A 20,749-nucleotide genomic window follows, 5' to 3' on the forward strand; every position below is an offset into this window, starting at 1 on the left:
TCATGTTTTTTGTGAAATTGTGAATTGTGCTGCTATAACATGCATATGCAAGTATCTTTTTCGTATAATAACTTCTTTTCCTCTAGGTACATACCCAGTAGTGGGATTGCTGGATCAAATGGTAGGTCTACTTTTAGTTCTTTAAGGAATCTCCACACTGTTTTCCATAGTGGTTGTACTAGTTTACATTCCCACCAGCAGTGTAGAAGTGTTCCCTTTTCATCGCATCCCTGACAACATCTATTATTTTTTGGTTTTTTGATTATAGTCATTCTTGCAGGAGTAAGGTAGTATTGCATTGTGATTTTCATTTGCATTTCCCTGATAATTCGTTATTTTGAGCATCTTTTCATATGTTTGTTAGCTATTTGTATATCTTCTTTTGAGAACTGTCTATTCATGTCCTTAGCCCACTTTTTGATGGGATTGGTTTTTTCTTGCTGATTTGTTTGACTTCCTTGTAGATTCTGGATATTAGTCCTTTGTTGAATGTATAGATTGTAAAGATTTTCTGCCACTCTGTGGGTTGTCTGTATACTCTGCTGATTATTTCTTTTGCTATGCAGAAGCCTTTTAGTTAAATTAAGTCCCATCTATTTATCTTTGTTTTGGTTGCATTTGCTTTTGGGTTCTTGGTCATGAAGTCTTTGCCTAAGTCAATATCTAGAAGAGTTTTCCCAATGTTATCTTCTAGAATTTTTATGGTTTCAGGTCTTAGATTTAAGTCTTTGATCTATCTTGAATTGATTTTTGTATAAGATGAGAGATGAGGATTCAGTTTCATTCATCTTCATGTGGCTTGCCAATTATCCCAGCACCATTTGTTGAATAGGGTGTCCTTTCCCTACTTTATGTTTTTCTTTGCTTCGTTGAAGTTCAGTTGGCTGTAAGTATTTGCCTTTATTTCTGGGTTCTCTATTCTGTTCCATTGGTCTACATGCCTATTTTTTATACAAGTACCATGCTGTTTTGGTAACTATCGTCTTGTAGTATACTTTGAAATCAGATAATGTGATGCCTCCATATTTGTTCTTTTCGCTTAGTCTTGTTTTGGCTATGCAGGCTGTTTTTTGGTTCCATATGAATTTTGGGATTTTTTTTCTAGTTCTGTGAAGTATTTTGATGGGAATTGCATTGAATTTGTAGATTGCTTTTGGCAGTATGGTCATTTTCAAAATACTGATTCTACCCATCCATGAGCATGGGATGGTGTTTCCCTTTGTTTTTGTCATCTATGATTTCCCTCAGCAGTGTTTTGTAGTTTTCCTTGTAGAGGTCTTTCACCTCCTTGGTTAGGTATATTCCTAAGTACTTTGTGTGTGTGTGTGTGTGTGTGTGTGTGTGTGTGTGTGTGTGTAGCTATTGTAAAATTGATTGAGTTCTTGATTTGATTCTCAGCTTGGTCACTGTTGGTGTATAGCAGAGCTACTGATTTGTGTACATTAATTTTGTATCCTGAAACTTTGCTGAATTCATTTATCAGTTCTAGGAGCTTTTTGGATTAGTCTTAGGCTTTTCTAGGTATATGATCATATCATTGGTGAACAGTGACAGTTTGACTTACTCTTTACAGATTTGGATGCTCTTCATTTCTTTCTCTTGTCTGATTGCTCTGGCTAGGACTTCAGGTACTATTTTGAATGTAAGTGGTAAAAGTGGACATCCTTGTCTTGTTCCAGTTCTTGGGGAATGCTTTCAACATTTTCCTGTTCAGTATAATGTTGGCTGTGGGATTTTCATGGATTGCTTTTCTTACCTTAAGCTTGTCCCTTCTATACTGATTTTGCTAAGGGTTTTAATCACAAAGGGATGCTGGATTTTGTCAAATGCTTTTTCTGCATCTATTGAGATGATGTGATTTTTTTTGTTTGTTTTTAATTCTGTTTATATGGTGTATCACATTTATTGACTTGTGGGTGTTAAACCATCCCTGCATCCCTGGTATGAAACTCACTTGATCACGGTGGATTATCTTTTTGATATGCTGTTGGATTTGGCTAGACAGTATTTTGTTGAGAATTTTTGCATCTATGTTCATCAGGGATATTGGTCTGTAGTTTTCGTTTTTTGTTATGTTCATTTCTGGTTTTGGTATTAGGGTGATACTGGCTCCATAGAATGATTTAGGGAGGAATCTCTATCTTGTAGCCTAGTGTCAATAGGATTAGTACCGATTCTTCTTTGAATGCCTGATATAATTCAGCTGTGAATCTGTCTGGTCCTGGACATTATTTGTTGGCAATTTTTTTATTACTATTTCGATGTTGCCACTTGTTATTGGTCTGTTCAGAGTTTTTATTTCTTCCTGGTTTAAACTAGGAGGGTTGTATTCTTCCAGGAATTTATCCATCTCCTCCAGGATTTTTAGTTTGTGTGCATAAAGGTGTTCATAGTAGCCTTGAATGATCTTTTGTATTTCTGTGGTATTGGTTGTAAGGCTCCTGTTTTGTTTCTAATTGAACCTATTTGGGTCTTTTCTCTTCTTGCTTGTTAATCTCACTAAGGGTTTGTCAATTTCATTTATCTTTTCAAAGAACAAGCCTTTTATTTTGTTTCATTTCATTTTTATTTAGTTTTGCTCTGATCTTGGTTATTTCTTTTTTTCCACTGGGTTTGGGTTTAGTTTGTTCTTTTTTCTTTAGTTCCTTGAGGTGTGACCTTAGATTGTCTATTTGTACTCTTTCAGACTTCTTGATAAGGCTATGAACTTTCCTCTTAGCACTTACTTTTGCTGTATCCCAGAGGTTTTGATAGTTTCTGTCACTATTATTGTTTAGTTTAAATAATTTTTTAATTTCCATTTTGATTTCATTTTTGACCCAAAGATCATTCAGGAGCAGGTTGTTTAATTTTCATGTATTTGCATGGTTTTAAGAGTTCCTTTGGAGTTGATTTTCAATTTTATTCCACTGTGGTCTGAGAGAGTAATTGATATCATTTCAGTTTTCTTAAATGTATTGAGACTTGTTTTGTGGCCTATCATATGTTCTATCTTGGAGTATGTTCCATGTGCTAATTAATAGGATGTATATTCTGCAGTTGTTGGGTAGAATCCTCTGTAAATATCTGTTAAGTCCATTTGTTGTAGGGTGTAATTTGAGTGCATTGTTTCTTTGTTGACTTTCTGTCTTGATGACCTGTCCAGTGTTGTCAGTGGAATATTGAAACCCCCCACTATTATTGTGTTGCTGTCTATCTCTTAAAATGCTAACTTTTATTTTAGCTATAAAATATATTTTAGAATATTCACACAATAGGGATTAAAAAAATTTAAAGCCTGATTCTTGCTCCTGTCACATTTCCTTACAAATATAATTCCTATTAAAAATAACAAAACAATGGGATCTGTAAAATAATTTCATAGTCTCTAGATTTTACACAAATCTTTATAAAACAATTAAGCTGCCTGAACATTTGCCATGGTTTCAAATACATCAGGAATAATGTAAAAATACAGAAAAAAATAAAGTATCTGAAATGTCTACTGTTACTCTAGTTGTTATCAGTATCCCATATGGTCACATCAAGTGCCTTTCACAAAGTATCTGAGCCGTCAGAGCCAATTTGGCTCATTTGGTGGATAGAATAGATTCAGTCATATTTTTAGCCGCTAAAGCAGATATGGAGAAAAGAAGAAAAATGTTGTCCTAGTGGCAGTTACAGTTACAGAAACTTGATTGCTTTCATGATTTCCAGGGAATAATTCAATTGTTTAGGACATGTTTTATGTAAAAATAGGTTGTCTACACATGAGTAAGATTAATATACTGCATTAAATAGGAATAATATATGCACAAGAGAAAACCTGAAATTTTACCCCCCTAACCATTTAAGGACTCTGTGTGTGTGTGTGTGTGTGTGTGTGTGTGGGTGTGTATGTGTATATGTGTATATGTAAATGAATTTTTGCTAACTTAGCAGTTCAAGGTACTTAATTTTAATACTGTTTGCAGTATACTGTATTTGACATAAGTTTTCAGTTCAGCGTTTCATATATTATGAGCAATCATGAACTACTTAATGGGCTTTCAGCTCATATAGGAAACAACAAGGTGAATTAAAAAATTTTAACACAATTTAAAAGCAATAAAATCAGGCAAGTTAAAAATATTGTTGATAATAATAGTTTTATGTCAGTTAAAAAGGTTATGCTGTTTTTAATCAAGCAAAATGTCTACTGCTTGATGAGCCATAGCCAGAATTTAAAGCTATTCCAGTTGAAAATTTTCATTAGTGAAGTCTCTCCTCAATAATGGTGCATAGCAATCAGATCATCTCAGTGTGATACCAAAGTAAGCCTTTCTTTTGCTCACAAGTTTGTGCATCTGCATCTGCTTCAGGTGCTAGTCTTCCTGTGAGCTGAGATTGCTCTTCTGATGTGTCCCTCATTTTTTGATCAGCACTTTAGTGTGACATTTTTCTCCTTGTGAAGATGGCAGAGATGCAAAGAAGACAGTCTGACCCAGGCAAGCACATATCACACTCTTACTTGTGTCATGCCTGCTGATATCTCACTGACCAAAACAAATCACATAGTCAAGCCCCAAACTAAGGGCTAAGAATATATTATCCAGCCTCCTCCCCCAGTTATGATGTCACGGCAAGGGTGTTGGATGTGAGAGAAGTGAAGTATTGTGGCCAATAAATCAATGTACCAGGCACAGTTTTTCTTACTCCATATTACTAGAAAATTAGAAAAATTAACTTAGAAGGACACCATTTATGGCAGAAATTGACTGTCAAGTTGTTTTCTATACCTGAATGGAAACTTTCAGTTCTATGCTAAGTGACTAGACAATGAGTATATCACTCACACCTGAACTCTGTTCTTTTTTTTTTTTTTTTAAATTTACAGGATAATAGTAAAGTGCTTCCTAACCCAGAGCTGAATGTATTTGACTCTGGAAAGCATTTTATAATGTTTTTAGAAGCATTTTGAAGGCATTTTAAAAATATGCACAATAACATGTCATTTGTTATTTTTTCTGATGAATAAATACTTTTCTTTTTAGTCTAGCCTTCTTATCATATCTTAGCCTCAATATTATTATTTTTTCTACTCAGAGGTTATAAATTTTAGGCTCTTCAAAATACGGAATTCATTACTGATATATGTACCCTGGTGTTAATGGCTGGTGGAGAACTGTTTGATTCTCTTATTGCCCAACCTGTGTGCACACCTTTTCTCTCAATGACCAGCAGGACCTGGCAGAAGAAAGCAGGATTGCACATTACTATTTTTTTAATTTTTTATTAGGCAGCCTTAAAATACTTATGCTTAGGGGCACAATATAACTGCATTCACTTTTTCACCATTTCTTTCAATGTTGAATCAAGATTAGGAGGCAAAATCAACTGTTGTCTATGATTAATGGAGTGTAGTAATTGGCATTAAGAAGCAAGCTTTTTAATTTGATTAGCTACACTGTTTATTGCTGCATTCATATATGCTACTCTGTTAGTAGCAATCACGACATATTTTATCTTTTTCTATTTTATTTTAATATGCAAAGTAATCATTAACCAATGTAAAAAGTATTTCGTCTACTGTATCATGAGTTTTCAGCAACAAAAAAACCCCCACAGTTTTCTCATAAATGCCTACTGCATATGTGAAGAAATGGTTTAAGCTTTGCTTATGTGAATGGCTTTATCCAGCTCTAAAGTGAAATGTCTTCTAGCATGCATGTGGGGTGTACTTTCCATTAAGTGTTATTCCATATTGCCATTCAGCAAGGGAATTTTGCCAGTAATTGTGTTTTCTTTCTGACCAGATTCATCATGTAATTGGTATCATATAGTACTTGTCCTTCTGTGTCTGGTTCCTTTTGCTTAGCATAATGTCCACCAGATTATTCTAAGTTGCCACAAATGGCAGGATTTTCTTCCTTTTTAAAGGCTGAATAATATCCCATTATATGAACATACAACATTTTATTTATCCGTTCATCTGTTGGTGGGAATTTAGGTTGCTTCCATATCTTGGCTATTGTGAATAGTGCTGCAGTGAACATGGGAGTGTGGCTATCTCTTTGAAATCCTGATTTCAATTCCTTTGAAAATATATCCAGAAGTAGGATTGCTGGATCATATATTTCTATTTTGAATTTTTTGAGGGACCTTTACAGTATTTTTCTGTAGAAACAATTTATACCTCCACTAACAGTGTAAAAACGTTCTTTGTATCGTCTGCCTCTTGCCAACATTTATATATTGTTGGTAGGATAGCTATTTTAAAAAAAATTATATATATGTGTATATTATATATACATATATTATTATTATATGTATATTATATATTATATGTGTATACACGTGTATACATATATATGTGTATACATGTGTACACGTGTATACATACATGCATACACGCGTGTATACGTACATGCATACACGCATGTATATATGTATACACACATGTGTATATATGTATACGTATATACACATATATACATGTATACACATGTATATATACATATACATGTATTATATATGTATATATACATATATACATATGTATATATTATATGTATACATATATATGTATATATACATATAAATTATATATGTATATATGTGTATATATATATATAATTTTTTTTTGAAAATAGCTATCCTACCAGGTGTGAAGTAGTATCTCATTGTGGCTTCTATTTGCATTTCTCCAATGACTAGTGATATTAAGCAGTTTTTCATTACCTATTGGCCCCATTACCTATTGGCCATAGACTAAATGTCTATTTAAGTTCTTAGTCTATTTTTAAAATTGGGTTTTCTGGCCAGATGTGGGGGCTCATGCCTGTAACCCCACCACTTTGGGAGGCCAAGGCAGGTGGATCACTTGAGGTCAGGAGTTCGAGGCCAGCCTGGCCAACATGGTGAAACCCCATCTCTACTAAAAATAAAAAAATTAGCCAGATGTGGTGGCACATGCCTGTAGTCCCAGCTACTCAGGAGGCTGAGGCAGGAGAATTGTTTGAACCCAGGAGTTGGAGGTTGCAGTGAGCTGAGATTGTGGCATTGCATTCCAGCCTGGGTAACGGACTGAGACTCTGTCTCAAAAAAATAAAAATAAAATAAAGTAAAATAAAAAATTGGGTTTTCTGTTTTTTTTGCTATTGAGTTGTTTGAGCTTCTTATATATTTTCAGTATTAACTCTTTGTCAGATATATGGTTTGCAAATATTTTCTCTAATTCCATAGGTTGCCTTTTCTTGAATTTTTTGTCAGTTTGTACATCTCCATCTCTTTAGGGTTAGTCCCTGGTACTTTAGTTTGTCCCTTTGATAATGTCATGTTTCCCTGAATATTCTTTATCTTTGCTGTATGTCTTGGTGTCTGTGTATCTGAAGAAACAGGTATTTATTCCAGTCTTCACAGACTGGCTTTGTCTGGGGAAGTTCAACAGTTAGCCTGTCCAGGGATTCTGGGCAGACTGTCTCTTGTGGACCATGGGCAGGCTTGCTGCTGGAGCCCTTGGGCTAGCTGGTCAGCCGCCGTCTGGGTCAGCAGGTGAGTGGGCTCAAAGCATAGGACTCCTGGGGCTGAGCTGGCAGTGGAGCAAGCCTTAAGTCTGGGTCTGCTGGAGCCAGGCTGATGGTGAGGTGGGCTTGAAGCTTGGGGCCATTGGGCCTAAGATGGCAGTGGGGTAGACCCAAAACCTGCTTCTGCTGAGACTGCCGTGGAGCTGAGGCAGGCCCAGCAGTGATGTGGCCTGGAGACTGAGTCTGCCACACAGGCCTGAAACCTGGGCTGTAGGGTCTGGCCTGGTATGAGGGAAGATTTGGAGGCTGAGTCTGCAGGTATCAGCCTGGAGTCTGGGGCTGTGAAAGCTTTCCTGATGCTGGGTTTTTCTGTGGCAGGCCTAGATTTGGGGTCCGAGGCAAACTCCTCTGCTCACTTCCCTGTTTTTCCCCTGAGTGGAGGTTTTTTTCTCTACATGCTCTGCTGCCTGGGATTGAGGGAGAGGTGACATCGGTAATGTAAAGCTGTCTTTCCCACCCTCTTCAGTGCATCTTTTCTCATTTCTATGCTATACCCAGTACTGTGATCTCTTACCTGGTTTGCTTAGCTATTGTAAAAGATTTTCATGCATGGATAGCTGTTTAAATTGATGTTTTGGCAGAGGAATGATCATTAAGAAGTCCTATTGTACCATCTTGCTCTGCCTCTTTCATGTTGCCTTTTCATATTATTGATTAGTTCCTTTGCTGTACAGAAGCTTTTTAGTTTGATGTAATACCTTGTGTATTTTTGTTTTCATTCCTTGTTCTTTTGGTGTCATGTCTAAGAAATCATTGCCAGGGCCAATATCCAGAAGGTTTTTCTCTGTTTTCTGCCTCCCTCCCTCCCTGCCTCTTTTCTCTTTTTTCTTTTCCCTTCCCTTCCCTTCCCCTTTCCCTTTCCTTTTCCCTTTCCTTTTCCCTTTCCCTTCCCTTTGCCTTTCCCTTCCCTTTTCCCTTCCCTTTCTCCTTTCCTCTTCCCTTTTTCCTTTCTTCTTCCCTTTTTCCTTTCCTCTTCCCTTTTTCCTTTCCTCTTCCCTTTTTCCTTTCCTCTTCCCTTTTTCCTTTCTTCTTCCCTTTTTCCTTTCCTCTTCCCTTTTTCCTTTCCTCTTCCCTTTTTCCTTTCTCCTTTCCTCTTCCCTTTTTCTCTTCCCTTCCTCCCTTCCCTTCCCTTCCCTCCTTTCCTTTCTTCCTTTCCTTTCCTTCCCTTCCCTTCCCTTTCCCTTTCCCTTCCCTTCCCTTTCCTACTTTTTCTTTCCTTCCTTATTCCTTCTTTGAGATGGGGTCTTGCTATGTTGCCCAGACTACTCTTGACCTCTTGGACACCAGTGAACTTCCTGCCTCACCCTCCCAAGTAGCTTGGATTACAGGCACATACCATTGCATCCTATGTTTTATTTGAGAAGTTTTATAATTTCAGGATTTATGTTTAAATCTTTAATCAGTTTTGAGTTGATTTTGTATATGGTGCAAAATAAGAGACCAATTTTATTCTTTTGCATGTATATGTCTAATTTACCCAACCTCATTTATTAAAGAGACTTTTTTTTCTCATTGTGTATTCTTGGCACTCTTTTTGAAGATCAGTTCACTGTACATGTGTGAGTTTATTTTTGGGCTTTCTATTCTGTTCCATTGGTCGATCTGTCTGTTTTTATGACAGTACCATGCTGTTTTGATTATTATAGCTTTGTAGTAGACTTTAAGACCAAGGAGCATGATGGTTCCAATTATATTCTGGTTCAAAATTGCTTTGGCTGGTTAGGATCTTTTCTGTTTTTTTTTTCTTTTTTTTTTAATGAATTTTAGCATTATTTTTCTTATTATGTAAAAATTCTATTGGGATTTTAATAGGAATGCATTGAATCTGTAGATAACAGAATCTACAGGGTAGTGGATAGTGTGGACATTTTAACAATATCAATCCTTTCAATGAACATAGGAATGTCCTTCAATTTAATTACATCTGCTTTAATTTCTTTTTTCAATGTTTTGTAGTTTTCAGTAGAGATTTTTTACTTCCTTGGTTGAGTTTGCTTCTAAGTATTTTAAAAATTTTGTAAATGGAATTGTTTTCTTAATTTCCTTTTTGGATAGTTCATTGTCAGTGTATAGAAATGCAACTGATTTTTGTATGTTGATTTTGTATCTTGCAACTTTCCTGAAAATTCATATTAGTTTTAACAGTTTTTTTTTTGTGGGGTCTTCTGGGTTTTCTACATGTAAAACATGTCATCTGCAAACAGATAATTTTATTTCTTCCATTTGATTTGCATGCCTTTTATTTCTTTTCCTACCTAATTGGTCTGGCTAAAATTTTTAGGGCTATGTTGAATAGAAATGGCAATAGTGGGCATCCTTGCCTTGATCCAGATTTTAGAAGAAAAGTTTTCAGTTTTTCACCATTGAGTATGACGTAGCTGGGGCTTTCATATATAGTCTTTATTCTGTTGAGGTATGTTCCTTTTTTAAAAATTTTTTTGAAGCAGGGTCTTGCTGTCACCTAGGCTGGAGCACAGTGGTGCGATCATAGCTCACTACAACCTCAAACTCCTAGGCTCAAGTGATCTTCCTGCCTCAGCTTCCTGAGTATCTAGGACTACACCATGCCCAGCTTATTTTATTTTATTTTGTTTTTTTTTGTGGAGATGGAGTCTTGCTATGTTACACAGGTTGGTCTCAAACTCCTGGTCTCAAGTCATTTTCCTGCCTTGGCCTCCCAAAGTGCTGGGATTACAGGCATGAGCCACCACACTCAGCTATAAGTTTTTATACCAAATATATTAAGTGTTTTTTATGATAAAATGGTATAAAATTTTTGCCAAATGCTTTTTCTGCATCTATTGTAATGATTGTGCCATTTTTTTCCCTTCATTTTGGTAATGTCATTTATCACATTAATTGATTTCAATGTGTTGACCATGCATCCCAAGGATAAATCTTACTTGATCATGGTGTATAATTATTTTAATATGCTGTTAAATGTGGTTTGCTAATATTTTTTGAGGAATTTTCCAGTCATGTTCAGCAAAGATATTGGCCTGTAGTTTTCTTTGTTTGTGATATCTTTGTCTGGCTTTGGTGCTGGCCTCATAAACCAAGTTTGGAAGTACTCTTTCTTCTCCATTTTTCGAAAAGTTTAAGAAGGATTTCATTGATTCTTCTTTAGATGTTTAGTAGGATTCACCAGTGAAACTTTCTTGTCCTAGGCTTTTCTTTCTTGAGAAATTTTTGAATACTGATCTTTTTTGTTATATTTTATTTTTCCTTTTTTTTATTGGTCTGCTCAGGCTTTCTATTTCTTATTGATTCATTCTTGGTAGGTTGTTTCTAGAAATTTGTTTCTTCTTGGTTGATAAGCTTGTTGGTGTATAATTGATTATAACAATCCCTTACTATCCTTTTATTTTGGTAGCATTGATTATGGACTTACTTATTTGAGCCTTCTTCCTTTTTCTTAGTCTAGCTAAGGTTTTATTTATTATATTTGTCTTTTCAAAAGACAAACAATTATGCTGTTCCTTGTGTTGTTTTTCCATTCTCTATTTCATTTATTTCTGCTTTACTCTTTATTATATTCTTCCTTCTGCTACCCTTGGGCATAGTTTCTTCTTATTTTTCTCATTCCTTGAGGTGTAATGTTAGGGTATTTATTTGAGATTTCTTCTTTTTTAATGCAGGCATTTATTGTTATAAACTTCCCTCTCAGTACTGCTTTTGCTAGATCCCATTAGTTTTATTATGCTACATTTCATTTTTATGTGTCTTGAAATATTTTCTAATTTCTCTTTTCATATATTCTTTGACCCAGTTGTTTTTGTGAATTTTTCTGTTTTCCTTTTGTTATTGGTTTCTAGTTTTATTCCACTGGGTTCAGAAAAGTTATTTGGATAAATTCAATCTTAAGTATGTAAGATAGGTTTGTTACCACCTAGCATGTGATCTGTCCTGGTGAATGTTCCATGTGTGCTTGAGAAGAATGTGTATTTTGTTGCTGTTGGTGGAATGTTCTGTTTGTTATGTCCATTTGGTCTATAGTGTTATTCAAGTTTGCTGTTTCCTTTGTCAACTGAACAATGACAAGGTTCAGAAATTTCAAAAGGAGAGCTTTATTTCTCATAAAGGGCTACAGCCTGCAGGGTGGCCATTCTTACAGGCTAGGAAGCATAGCCTCTAGTCAGAAGCCAGAAACAGATCCTTCAAAGGTAGAAAGAGTAACACAGGGCTTTATGCTGAATGTGGTAGCCAAATATACATATTTAATAAGCTATAGGAGTAGTCATGAGTATTTATGAAAGGAGAAATATGCATGTACAGTTGAGCTTCAGGCCCCTCCCTGGGACCCATGTTCAAAAAGTAGCAGTGTTAGCATGATGCAAGCATGAAAATTTTGGCCCTCTGATGCCAAAAGGTAAAGCAGAAGACATGAAAACCTTCACTGTGCAATGTGCATAGACTGGCCAGAATCACTCTGTGGTCAGTGGTCTTTTAGCAGGAACAAGTGCTGGTTAAAACTTCAAAAGAGAGGAGCGGCGTCAGGCAGCCCTTGATACCGGGGTAGAGTGAGTTCTTTCAAAAAGCTGGTTGCTGTTTAGCCCTTAGGAAAGAGAGCCTAATGGTGTTCAGAGAGGGAGAGGGTAGAATGAGGCATGTCCCATCTCCTATTCTCTCATGTTAAGAATTCAGTTTTCATGATTTATATTAGGACTCCTTAGTTAAGTGGGGGTCCATTCAGTTGGTTGGGGGCTTAGGATTTTATTTTTATTTCTCATCTTGATATTTTTGTCTGGATTATCTGTCCATTATTGTAAATGGGTGTTGCAGTCTCCTATTATTGTATTATCTATATCCTTTAGCTCTCCCAATGTTTGCTTTATATTTTAGGTGCTCTAATATTGGGTCCACATATATTGTAATTGTTATAGCTTCCTGTTGAATTGACACTTTTATCTTTATGTAATGACCTTCATTTCTCTTGCAGCAGTTTTTGATCTAAAGTCTATTTTGTCTCATATAAATATAGCCTCCCTTGCTCTCTTTGGTTTCCATTTACACGGAATATCATTTCCAATTTCTTTATTTTCAGCCTATTTGTGCTCTTAAATTTGAATGTCTTGTAGACATTATATAGCTCAATATATATGTTTAAATCCATTCAGCTACTCTATATATTTTGATTAGAGAACTTAATCCATTGCATTTCAAATAATTATTGATAGGTAAGGATTTACTATTGCCATTTTGCTAATTGTTTTCTGTTTCTTATTTCTTTTGTTCTTTTTCTCTTTTGCTGTTTTTATGTTTTGATTTTTTTTGTAGTGATATACTTTGATTATTTTGTCTTTATCTTTTTTGTATTTGCTATAGGTTTTTTTCTTTGTGGTTACCATGATGTTAGCATAACATTTCTTGTAGTTCTAATAGCCTATTTGAGCTGATAGCCTCAATTGCATAAAGAAAACCCTCTATACTTTTACTTCCTTCTCAACACTATATTATTGATGTCAGAACTTGCTTCTTTTACACTATGTATCTATTAACCAATTTTTGTGGTTATAGTTATCTTTTATACTTTTATCTTTTAGCCTTTGTACTAGGGCTACCCTACAGTATTACATTACTCTGCATTTGTCCATATATTTATCTTTACCAGTGAGATTTATGCTTTGATGTGCTTGCGTGTTGCTGTTTAGCATCCCGTCATTTCAACTTGAAGAACTCCCCTTATAAGAACTCTCCAGTCTTATAAGACTGGTCTAGAGATGAGGAACTCCCTGTTTTTATTTTGTTGGTCTGTGATATAATTTGGCTCTATGTCCCTACCCAAATCTCATGTTGAATGATAATCCCCACGTATTGAAGGAGGGGCCTGGTGGGAGGTGATTAAATCATGGGGGTAGATTTCCCCCTTGCAGTTCTCATGATAGAGTTCTCACAAGATCTGGTTGTTTGAAAGTGTGCAGCACATTCCCCTTCTCTCTCTCTCTCTCTCTCTCTCTCCTGCTTTGGCCATATGAACACTGTGCCTGCTTCTCGTTTGCCTTGCACCACGATTGTAAGCTTCCTGAGGCCTCCCCAGCCTTGCCTCCTTTACAGCCTCCAGAACTGTGAGTCAGTTGAACCTTTTTTATTCATAAATTACCCAGTCCCAGGTAGTTCTTTATAGCAGTGTGAGAAGGGACTAATATAGAAAATTGGTACCAGAGAGTGGGGCATTGCTCTAAAGATACCTGAAAATGTGGAAATAACTTTGGAACTGGGTAATGAGCAGAGGCTGGAACAGTTTGGAGAGCTCAGAAGAAGAAAGAAAGATGAAAGAAAGTTTGGAACTTCCTAAAGACGTGCTAAATTATTGTGACCAAAATGCTGATAGTGATATAGAAAATGAAGTCCAGACTAGCATAGTCTCAGATGGAGATGAGGAACTTAATGGGAACTGGAGTAAATGTCACTCTTGCTATGCTTTAGCAAAGAGACTGGTGGCATTGTGCCCCCTCCCTAGAGATCTGTAGAACTTTGAACTTGAGAGAGATGATTTAGGGTATCTGTTGGAGGAAATTTTCGAAGCAGCAAAGCATTCAAAAGGTGGCCTGGCTGCTTCTAATACTGTAAGCTTATATGCATTTGCAAAGAGATGGTCTGAAATTGGAACTTTTATTAAAAGGGAAGCAGAGCATAAAAGTTTCAAAAATTTGTAGCTTGACCATGTGGTAGAAAAGCAAACCCATTTTCTGGGAAGGAATTCAAGCTGGGTTTAAAATTTGCACAAGTAAAGTGGAGTCAAATGTTAACAGGCAAGACATGAGGAAATGCCTCCAAGACATTTCAGAGACCTTCCAGGCAGCTTCTCCCATCACAGGCCTGGAGGTCTAGGAAGGAAAAATGGTTTAGTAGGCCAAGCCGAGGGCCCCACTGCTCTGCACAGCCTCAGAACATGGTGCCCTGTATCCCAGCTGCTCTAGCTCCAGCTGTGGCTAAAAGGGGCCAAGGTACAGCTTAGGCCATTGCTTCAGAGGTTGGAATCCCCAAGCCTTGGCAGCTGCCACATGGTGTTGGGCCTGTGAGTGCACAGAAGGCAAGAGCTGAGGTTTGGGAGCCTCTGCTAGATTTCAGTGGATGTCTGGAAACACCAAGATGTGCAGGCAGATGCCTCCTTTGGGGGTGGAGCTTTTATGGAGAACCTCTACTAGGGCAGTTGAGAGGGGAAATATGGCTTTGGAGCCCCAACACAGAGTCCCCACTGAAGCACTGCCTAGTAGAGCTGTGAGAAGAGGTCCACCATCCTCCAGACCCCAGAATGATAGATCCACCGACAGCTGGCAGTGTGCATCTGGAAGCCACAGGTACTCAACACCAGCCCATGAAAGCAGCCACAAAAGTTGTACCCTGCAGAGCCATAGGGGTGGAGCTGCCCAAGGCCTTGGGAGTCCACCTCTTGCATTGGTGTGGTCTGGATGTGAGACATGGAGCCAAAGGAGATCATTTTAGAGCTTTACGATTTAATGACTGCTCTGCTGGGTTTCAGACTTGCATGGGGCCTGTAGCCCCTTTGTTTTGGCCAATTTCTTCCTTTTGAAATGGGAGCATTTACCCAATGCCTATGCCCCTATTGTATCTTGGAAGTAACTAACTTGTTTTTGATTTTTCAGGCTCATAGATAGAAGTGACTTGCCTTGTCTCAGATGAGACTGAACTTTGACTTTTGAGTTGACGCTGAAATGAGTTAAGACCTGGGGGACTGTTGAGAAGGCATGGTTTTGTTTTGAAATGTGAGATGCACATGAGATTTGGGAGGGGCCAGGAGTGGAATCATATGGTTTGGCTCTGTGTCCCCACCCAAATCTCATGTCAATTTGTAATTCCCATGTGTGGGAGGTGATTGAATCATGAGGGTGAACTTCCGCTTTACTGTTCTCATGACAGAGTTCTCACGAGATCCGGTTGTTTGGAAGTGTGTAGCACTTTTCCCTTTGCTCTGTCTCTTTCTCCTCCTCTGGCCCTGTGAAGACCATGCCTGCTTCCCCTTCACATTCCATCGCGAATGTAAGTTTCCTGAGGCCTTCCCAGCCATGGCTTCTGTATAGCCTGTGGAAATGTTAGTCGATTAAACCTCTTTTATTCATAAATTACCCAGTAGTTCTCTATAGCAGTGTGAGAGTGAACAAATACAGTCTGTGGAAACCTTTTTCCCTCCTGTATTTTTAAAAGATAATGTTGCCCTATATGACAAACCCATAGCTAATATCGTGAAATCATGTGAGACTTTATTTGGTAAAGTCAAAATCTATTTACATTTGTTGGTAGTAAACTTTAAAAGAAATTCAGCTTAAATATGTGGATCTGTGCTTCTTATAGTTAATAAGAAAGTAGGTAACCACAGTTTAAAAAGGCCACCTTGCAAATGAGGGTTTATAATAGCAGTTATATTTTCTTTAGTGCAAAGAACCCAGGAAGGCATGTTGCAAGTGACCCTTAAATATTTATAGTTTTTATATGTATCCTTAGCCACGTTTTATTTGTTTTTGGATAATTTCACTTGACAAACTAAAATGTTTGTGACTCTCCTTATTCAGTATTGCTTTTATGATCTATGTTTCAACATACATACCAATGAGATTTGACAGGATGCCCTTAAGCAGTCTACTAGCTATCATAATATGATATAATGCTTCAAATGAGCATAAATGTATAGTTCAAAATATGCATCTACAGCTCAAACTATGCATTTACCAACAGAATTAAATACAATACTCTAAAGATATAAGAATTTGTTGTTGGGTATGTGTATAGGTGCCCTGTGAACTCATTCTCACCATTTCAATGTTATTTCCTACACGTGTAGGAAAAGTAAGTGATAAATTAAAATTCTGTTAACACTTCTATTGGAAGTTTTGTATCTTTGGCTTTATATACTTTATTTTGACTAAAGCCATAAATGACTCAGAGAAAAGGAAAAAAAGGTACTTTTGACAATGCATATATTTATATTTCAGTTCAGGGAATCAAACTCAGGCAACCAAGTTTACACACCAAAGCATAAATTCTTTCTTGAGCTGAAGTAGTATTATTTCATTTTGTAAAGAATAAGTAAGCTAAAAAATAATTGGATTTTTATTTAATTTCAATGATAGCAAAGACCTCTTGTTTAGTACTGTATTCCCAGAGCTTTAAAGGATGCCTGGCACACAATAGATACTCTAAAAATGAATGAATGAATGAATTAATGAACACAAAGTTGGCAGGTTAGAGGGGATTTTTGACTTTAAAGGTGTGCTTTTTCATCACCAAAACTCTCTTTAAAGTTACCTTATTTAAAAAAAAAACACACACATTAAGAACTCCTGGGCTTTAACCTGTCACCTCGCAGAACAGTCTATTTTCAAGAAAATATAGCTCTTAGGGCAGAGGACTGCAGCAAACTCAAGGGGCTAAGTAGCTTTCCTGATCCCTTAAATCTCTTCTCAGATTTAGGTTTTGTTAAATTAGTTATTAGCCAAGTACAAGTAGAAGAGTTATCAGGAAGATGAAATTCCACAGTCAAGTACAGCATAAGAATAAATAGAAATAGAAATGTGTACTCTGTGGATTTCTCGAGGGGTTTGAAACTTGCCAGCTGGCTTGTTAAGGGGAACTCAGACAAAGCACTAAAAGCTCTGATTACTAAAGGATATTTTGTTTTAGGACGTTAATAAAAATGAAAGCAAATAAATTCTAAGGATGAATTTAGCAAAAAGTGTTGATTGAATGCATAGGCTTTTTAAAACCATGGTAAAAGATTTCTACCTCCAGGTCTTTGATTCTATAAAAATGCCTACGGACTATTCAATCTGTTGTAGACAGTTGATGGAATCTGGTAATCTATGTTATGGAGCAATTAATTGCCTTTTGGGCTCATCAAATTTGTTTATTTGGTCAAGGTGGAAGAATCTACAGCAATGCTTAGAAGATAATTAAGATTTCAGGACCCAAATCAATAAGGAAAGATAAAGAAAAGGAGATTAGTTCTTTCAGAAGATAAGTTTGAGAGGTGACTAGATGTCAATCTTTAAGTATATGGAGAAATTATCAAGCAGACCAATTTTCCTCTTTCTTTCTAGCATGGCACAGAAGGAAGTGGGTTTGGTCAATCTTTAATCAAATATTTATTGAGTGCTTGTGTTTTGCACAGTATTGTGAAAGATACTGTAGCCAACACAGGGAAATGTGGATCTCCTCGTGTGCAGTATGAAATGCAATTTTAAAAACTTGGTTATCTACTATGTATAAGTATATAAATATGTGTAGTTTCTCCATGGTTTATTTTTGGGGAGAGAATAGCAGCTACCTTAGTTCAGCATTTTGACAGGAACCAGAAAACCTTCTGATCTTTACTAGACATATGGCAACCCAGAACAAAAAGCACATTTTTAGCCTCTTTTGCAGCTAGGTGTGGTTATGTGCCTAAGTCCTGTTAATGAGATATGAACACAGGTAAAATATGTAACCTGTAGAAATTTCCCTTAAAGGGAGGAAGTGTACACTTTTCTCCCCTGTAGGCTGAGTTGTGGAGCTGGAATAAGTAGCACAAGGTGGGAGCTAAAAGAGGAGGGTGTGGAATAGAGAAATGTTTCTCCTCATTTAAGAAGTTCATATGCTTATAAATACTTCCATTTGTGTAGAATAGTTAATTAAAATATACAATGCCGGCCAGGCGCGGTGGCTCACGCCTGTAATCCCAGCACTTTGGGAGGCCGAGGCGGGCGGATCACGAGGTCAGGAGATCGAGACCATCCTGGCTAACACGGTGAAACCCCGTCTCTACTAAAAATGCAAAAAATTAGCCGGGCGTGGTGGCGGGCGCCTGTAGTCCCAGCTGCTCGGGAGGCTGAGGCAGGAGAATGGCGTGAACCCGGGAGGCGGAGCTTGCAGTGAGCCGAGATCGTGCCACTGCACTCCAGACTGGGCGACAGAGCGAGACTCCGTCTCAAAAAAAAAAACAACAAAAAAACAAAAAACAAAAACAAAACAAAATATACAATGCCTATGATATGAATGATACCCTTTAGACTTGTGCAGTGCAGAACCTATACAATCACATTAATATTTGGTAAGCCTGATAATCATGGAGCCACCATAACTAGTCTGAAACTGCAAACACATTTTACAATTTTTTTCAAACTTTTAGTGTTTTTGTTACTCAAGGCCATAACTAATCCTACACGCTCTCCTTAACAAGTAAGCTCTCCTGAAGCAGAGATATTCCCTTTCTGTGACATTCTCCAGTGCCTCGATAGAGCCTGCCATATAGAAGACACTAAAATATTTGTTGACTGACTTCTGAAAAAGAGAAAGGAAGAAAACAAACAAACAAAAAACAAACAAAAAACAAGATTGACAGTGTGGGCTGGAGAGGTAGGAATATTTTTTCCTTTGCTAAGAGTTTGTGGCTTTTTGAAATTTTACCATACGTAAAACTGTTTTCATTGGAATCATATGTAAAATAAAGTAAAAATTGGACCATTAATATTACCATATTTTGTGATTAAGAAAATTGCTTAATTCTTTAGAGTAATGTTTTTACAATATAAAACTAATAAGTTTAAAATAACTTAGGCAAGCTGGGCATGTGGTGGCATGTGCCTGTAGTCCCAGCTACTTGGAGGCTGAGGCAGGAGGATTGCTTGAGCCCAGGAGTTTGAGGCCATAGTGCACTGTGATTGTGCCTGTGAGTGGTCACTGCACTCCAGCCTGGGCAATATAATGAGACCCTACCTCTAAGAAAAACAAAATTAGAAAAGTCTTTTGGAAGCCAAGGCCTGGCTACATATTTATATTAAGAAGTCAGCCTATAACATTTTTTTTTCAACTTTTATTTTAAATTCAGAAGGTGCATGTATAGGCTTGTTACTTTGCTATCCCTCCCTTCCTCCCCCACTCCAGAAGTCCCCAGTTTCTGTTGTTGCCATCTTTATGCCCATGAGTACTTAATGTTTAGCTCCCACTAATAAGTAAGAACATGCATTAACCTGTAAAATTTAAATTGTGACCATTTCTGAAAGATTGACAAGGAATTTTTTTTTGGTCAATCATTTAGCATTTGCTAAATTTCTCCTGTGAGGGCAACACTGTGGTAGACACTGTGTAAATCACAGGTAGAGTCTCCATGTGATTGCTGACCACACCCATTCTTTACAGGTTCTGAAGTAAAGGAGAAATATATGAAAGAGCTAAATAGAGAACAAAATGCTTGTTTCATTGATGTTAAAGCTGGATGAGAGAAGTCAGCCTTATGAACTTACTTGCCATGGAAAAGCTACAGTAGAGAACAGAAAGCACATGATATGGACACTGTTGATCTCCAGGTAGATTGCCAGAAAACATCTCCATCAGCCCCTCTTCTCCCCTGCACTGGGATAGGAGGTTTCATGGTTGTTTCTTTTTCCCCATCAATCTCAACCAACCCATCTGATTCTGATCTGCTGATAACACCCACCCTTGTTTTTCCAACACTTTTGGATTTATTCTCAAATATATTTGTCATTTCCCCCGAGTTTTGGGATGCACATGAGGTAAATATATGGGCCAGTCTTTCTTTACATCACTCTATTTCAGGTCACCAGGATTTTGTGTATATATTTTTCCTATTTACTGTGCACTTATTTTAATTAAACAACCACAAATAAAAAATTCATTTGTTTCTGCAGTTCTAGATATATATTATTCTTTATTTTAAAAAATATATTTCTGATGGGGCACAGTTGTTCATGCCTGTAATTCCAGCACTTTGGGAAGATGAAGTGGGCGGATTGCTTGAACCCAGGGGTTCATGACCAGCCTGGGCAACATGGTAAAATCATGTCTAGACCAAAAAAAGAAAAAAGTTAGTGGGTGTGGTGGCATGTGCCTGTAGCCCTAGCTACCAGCTACTCGGGAGGCTGAGGTGGGAGGATCTAAAGTCCAGGAGGTTGAGGTTGCAGTGAGTGGTGACCATGCCACTGCATTCCAGCCTGGGTGACAGAGGAAGACCCTGTATCAAAAAAAAAATTCTGTGAAGTTTATGCTAATTGGAGATAAGAAAAATGATGGTCAAAGGTGCTTGAAAGAAAACTTTGATATGAATGAGAGATTGTGTTTATCCATGTGCTTAAATAATAAAGTAGCCTTCTTGTCTGTGAAGTTAAAAGTTGGCATAGCTACTTCAAAATTCATACAGAGGAGCTCCATTTAATCCCTAGCTCAGCCTTGATAGGATTTACACAAAGAGATTT

At 37.1% G+C, this 20,749-nt stretch overlaps 2 long non-coding RNA genes across 2 annotated transcripts in view, besides 1 other annotated feature; one reads left to right on the top strand and one right to left on the bottom strand.

The window, feature by feature from the left end:
* LOC107986324 (uncharacterized) overlaps positions 1-20,749 on the top strand; it is a 487,144-nt gene that overhangs the window by 200,281 nt on the left and 266,114 nt on the right. The window lies entirely within an intron of this gene.
* LINC02233 (long intergenic non-protein coding RNA 2233) overlaps positions 1-20,749 on the bottom strand; it is a 111,282-nt gene that overhangs the window by 74,101 nt on the left and 16,432 nt on the right. Inside the window, exon 2 of the long non-coding RNA NR_146278.1 lies at positions 5,119-5,205. This is a non-coding gene — a long non-coding RNA (long intergenic non-protein coding RNA 2233). The remainder of the gene's footprint in view (positions 1-5,118; positions 5,206-20,749) is intronic.
* Positions 8,108-9,061: an enhancer, noted in NCBI's record as "H3K27ac-H3K4me1 hESC enhancer chr4:160669863-160670816 (GRCh37/hg19 assembly coordinates)". NCBI's record gives its function as "activates a minimal SCP1, AML or CMV promoter by ChIP-STARR-seq in naive H9 embryonic stem cells {active_cell/tissue: H9 hESC(naive)}" and the evidence as "EXISTENCE:reporter gene assay evidence [ECO:0000049][PMID:30033119]".

Source organism: Homo sapiens, chromosome 4 (assembly GCF_000001405.40).
Source record: "Homo sapiens chromosome 4, GRCh38.p14 Primary Assembly".
Taxonomy (NCBI): Eukaryota; Metazoa; Chordata; class Mammalia; order Primates; family Hominidae; genus Homo; species Homo sapiens.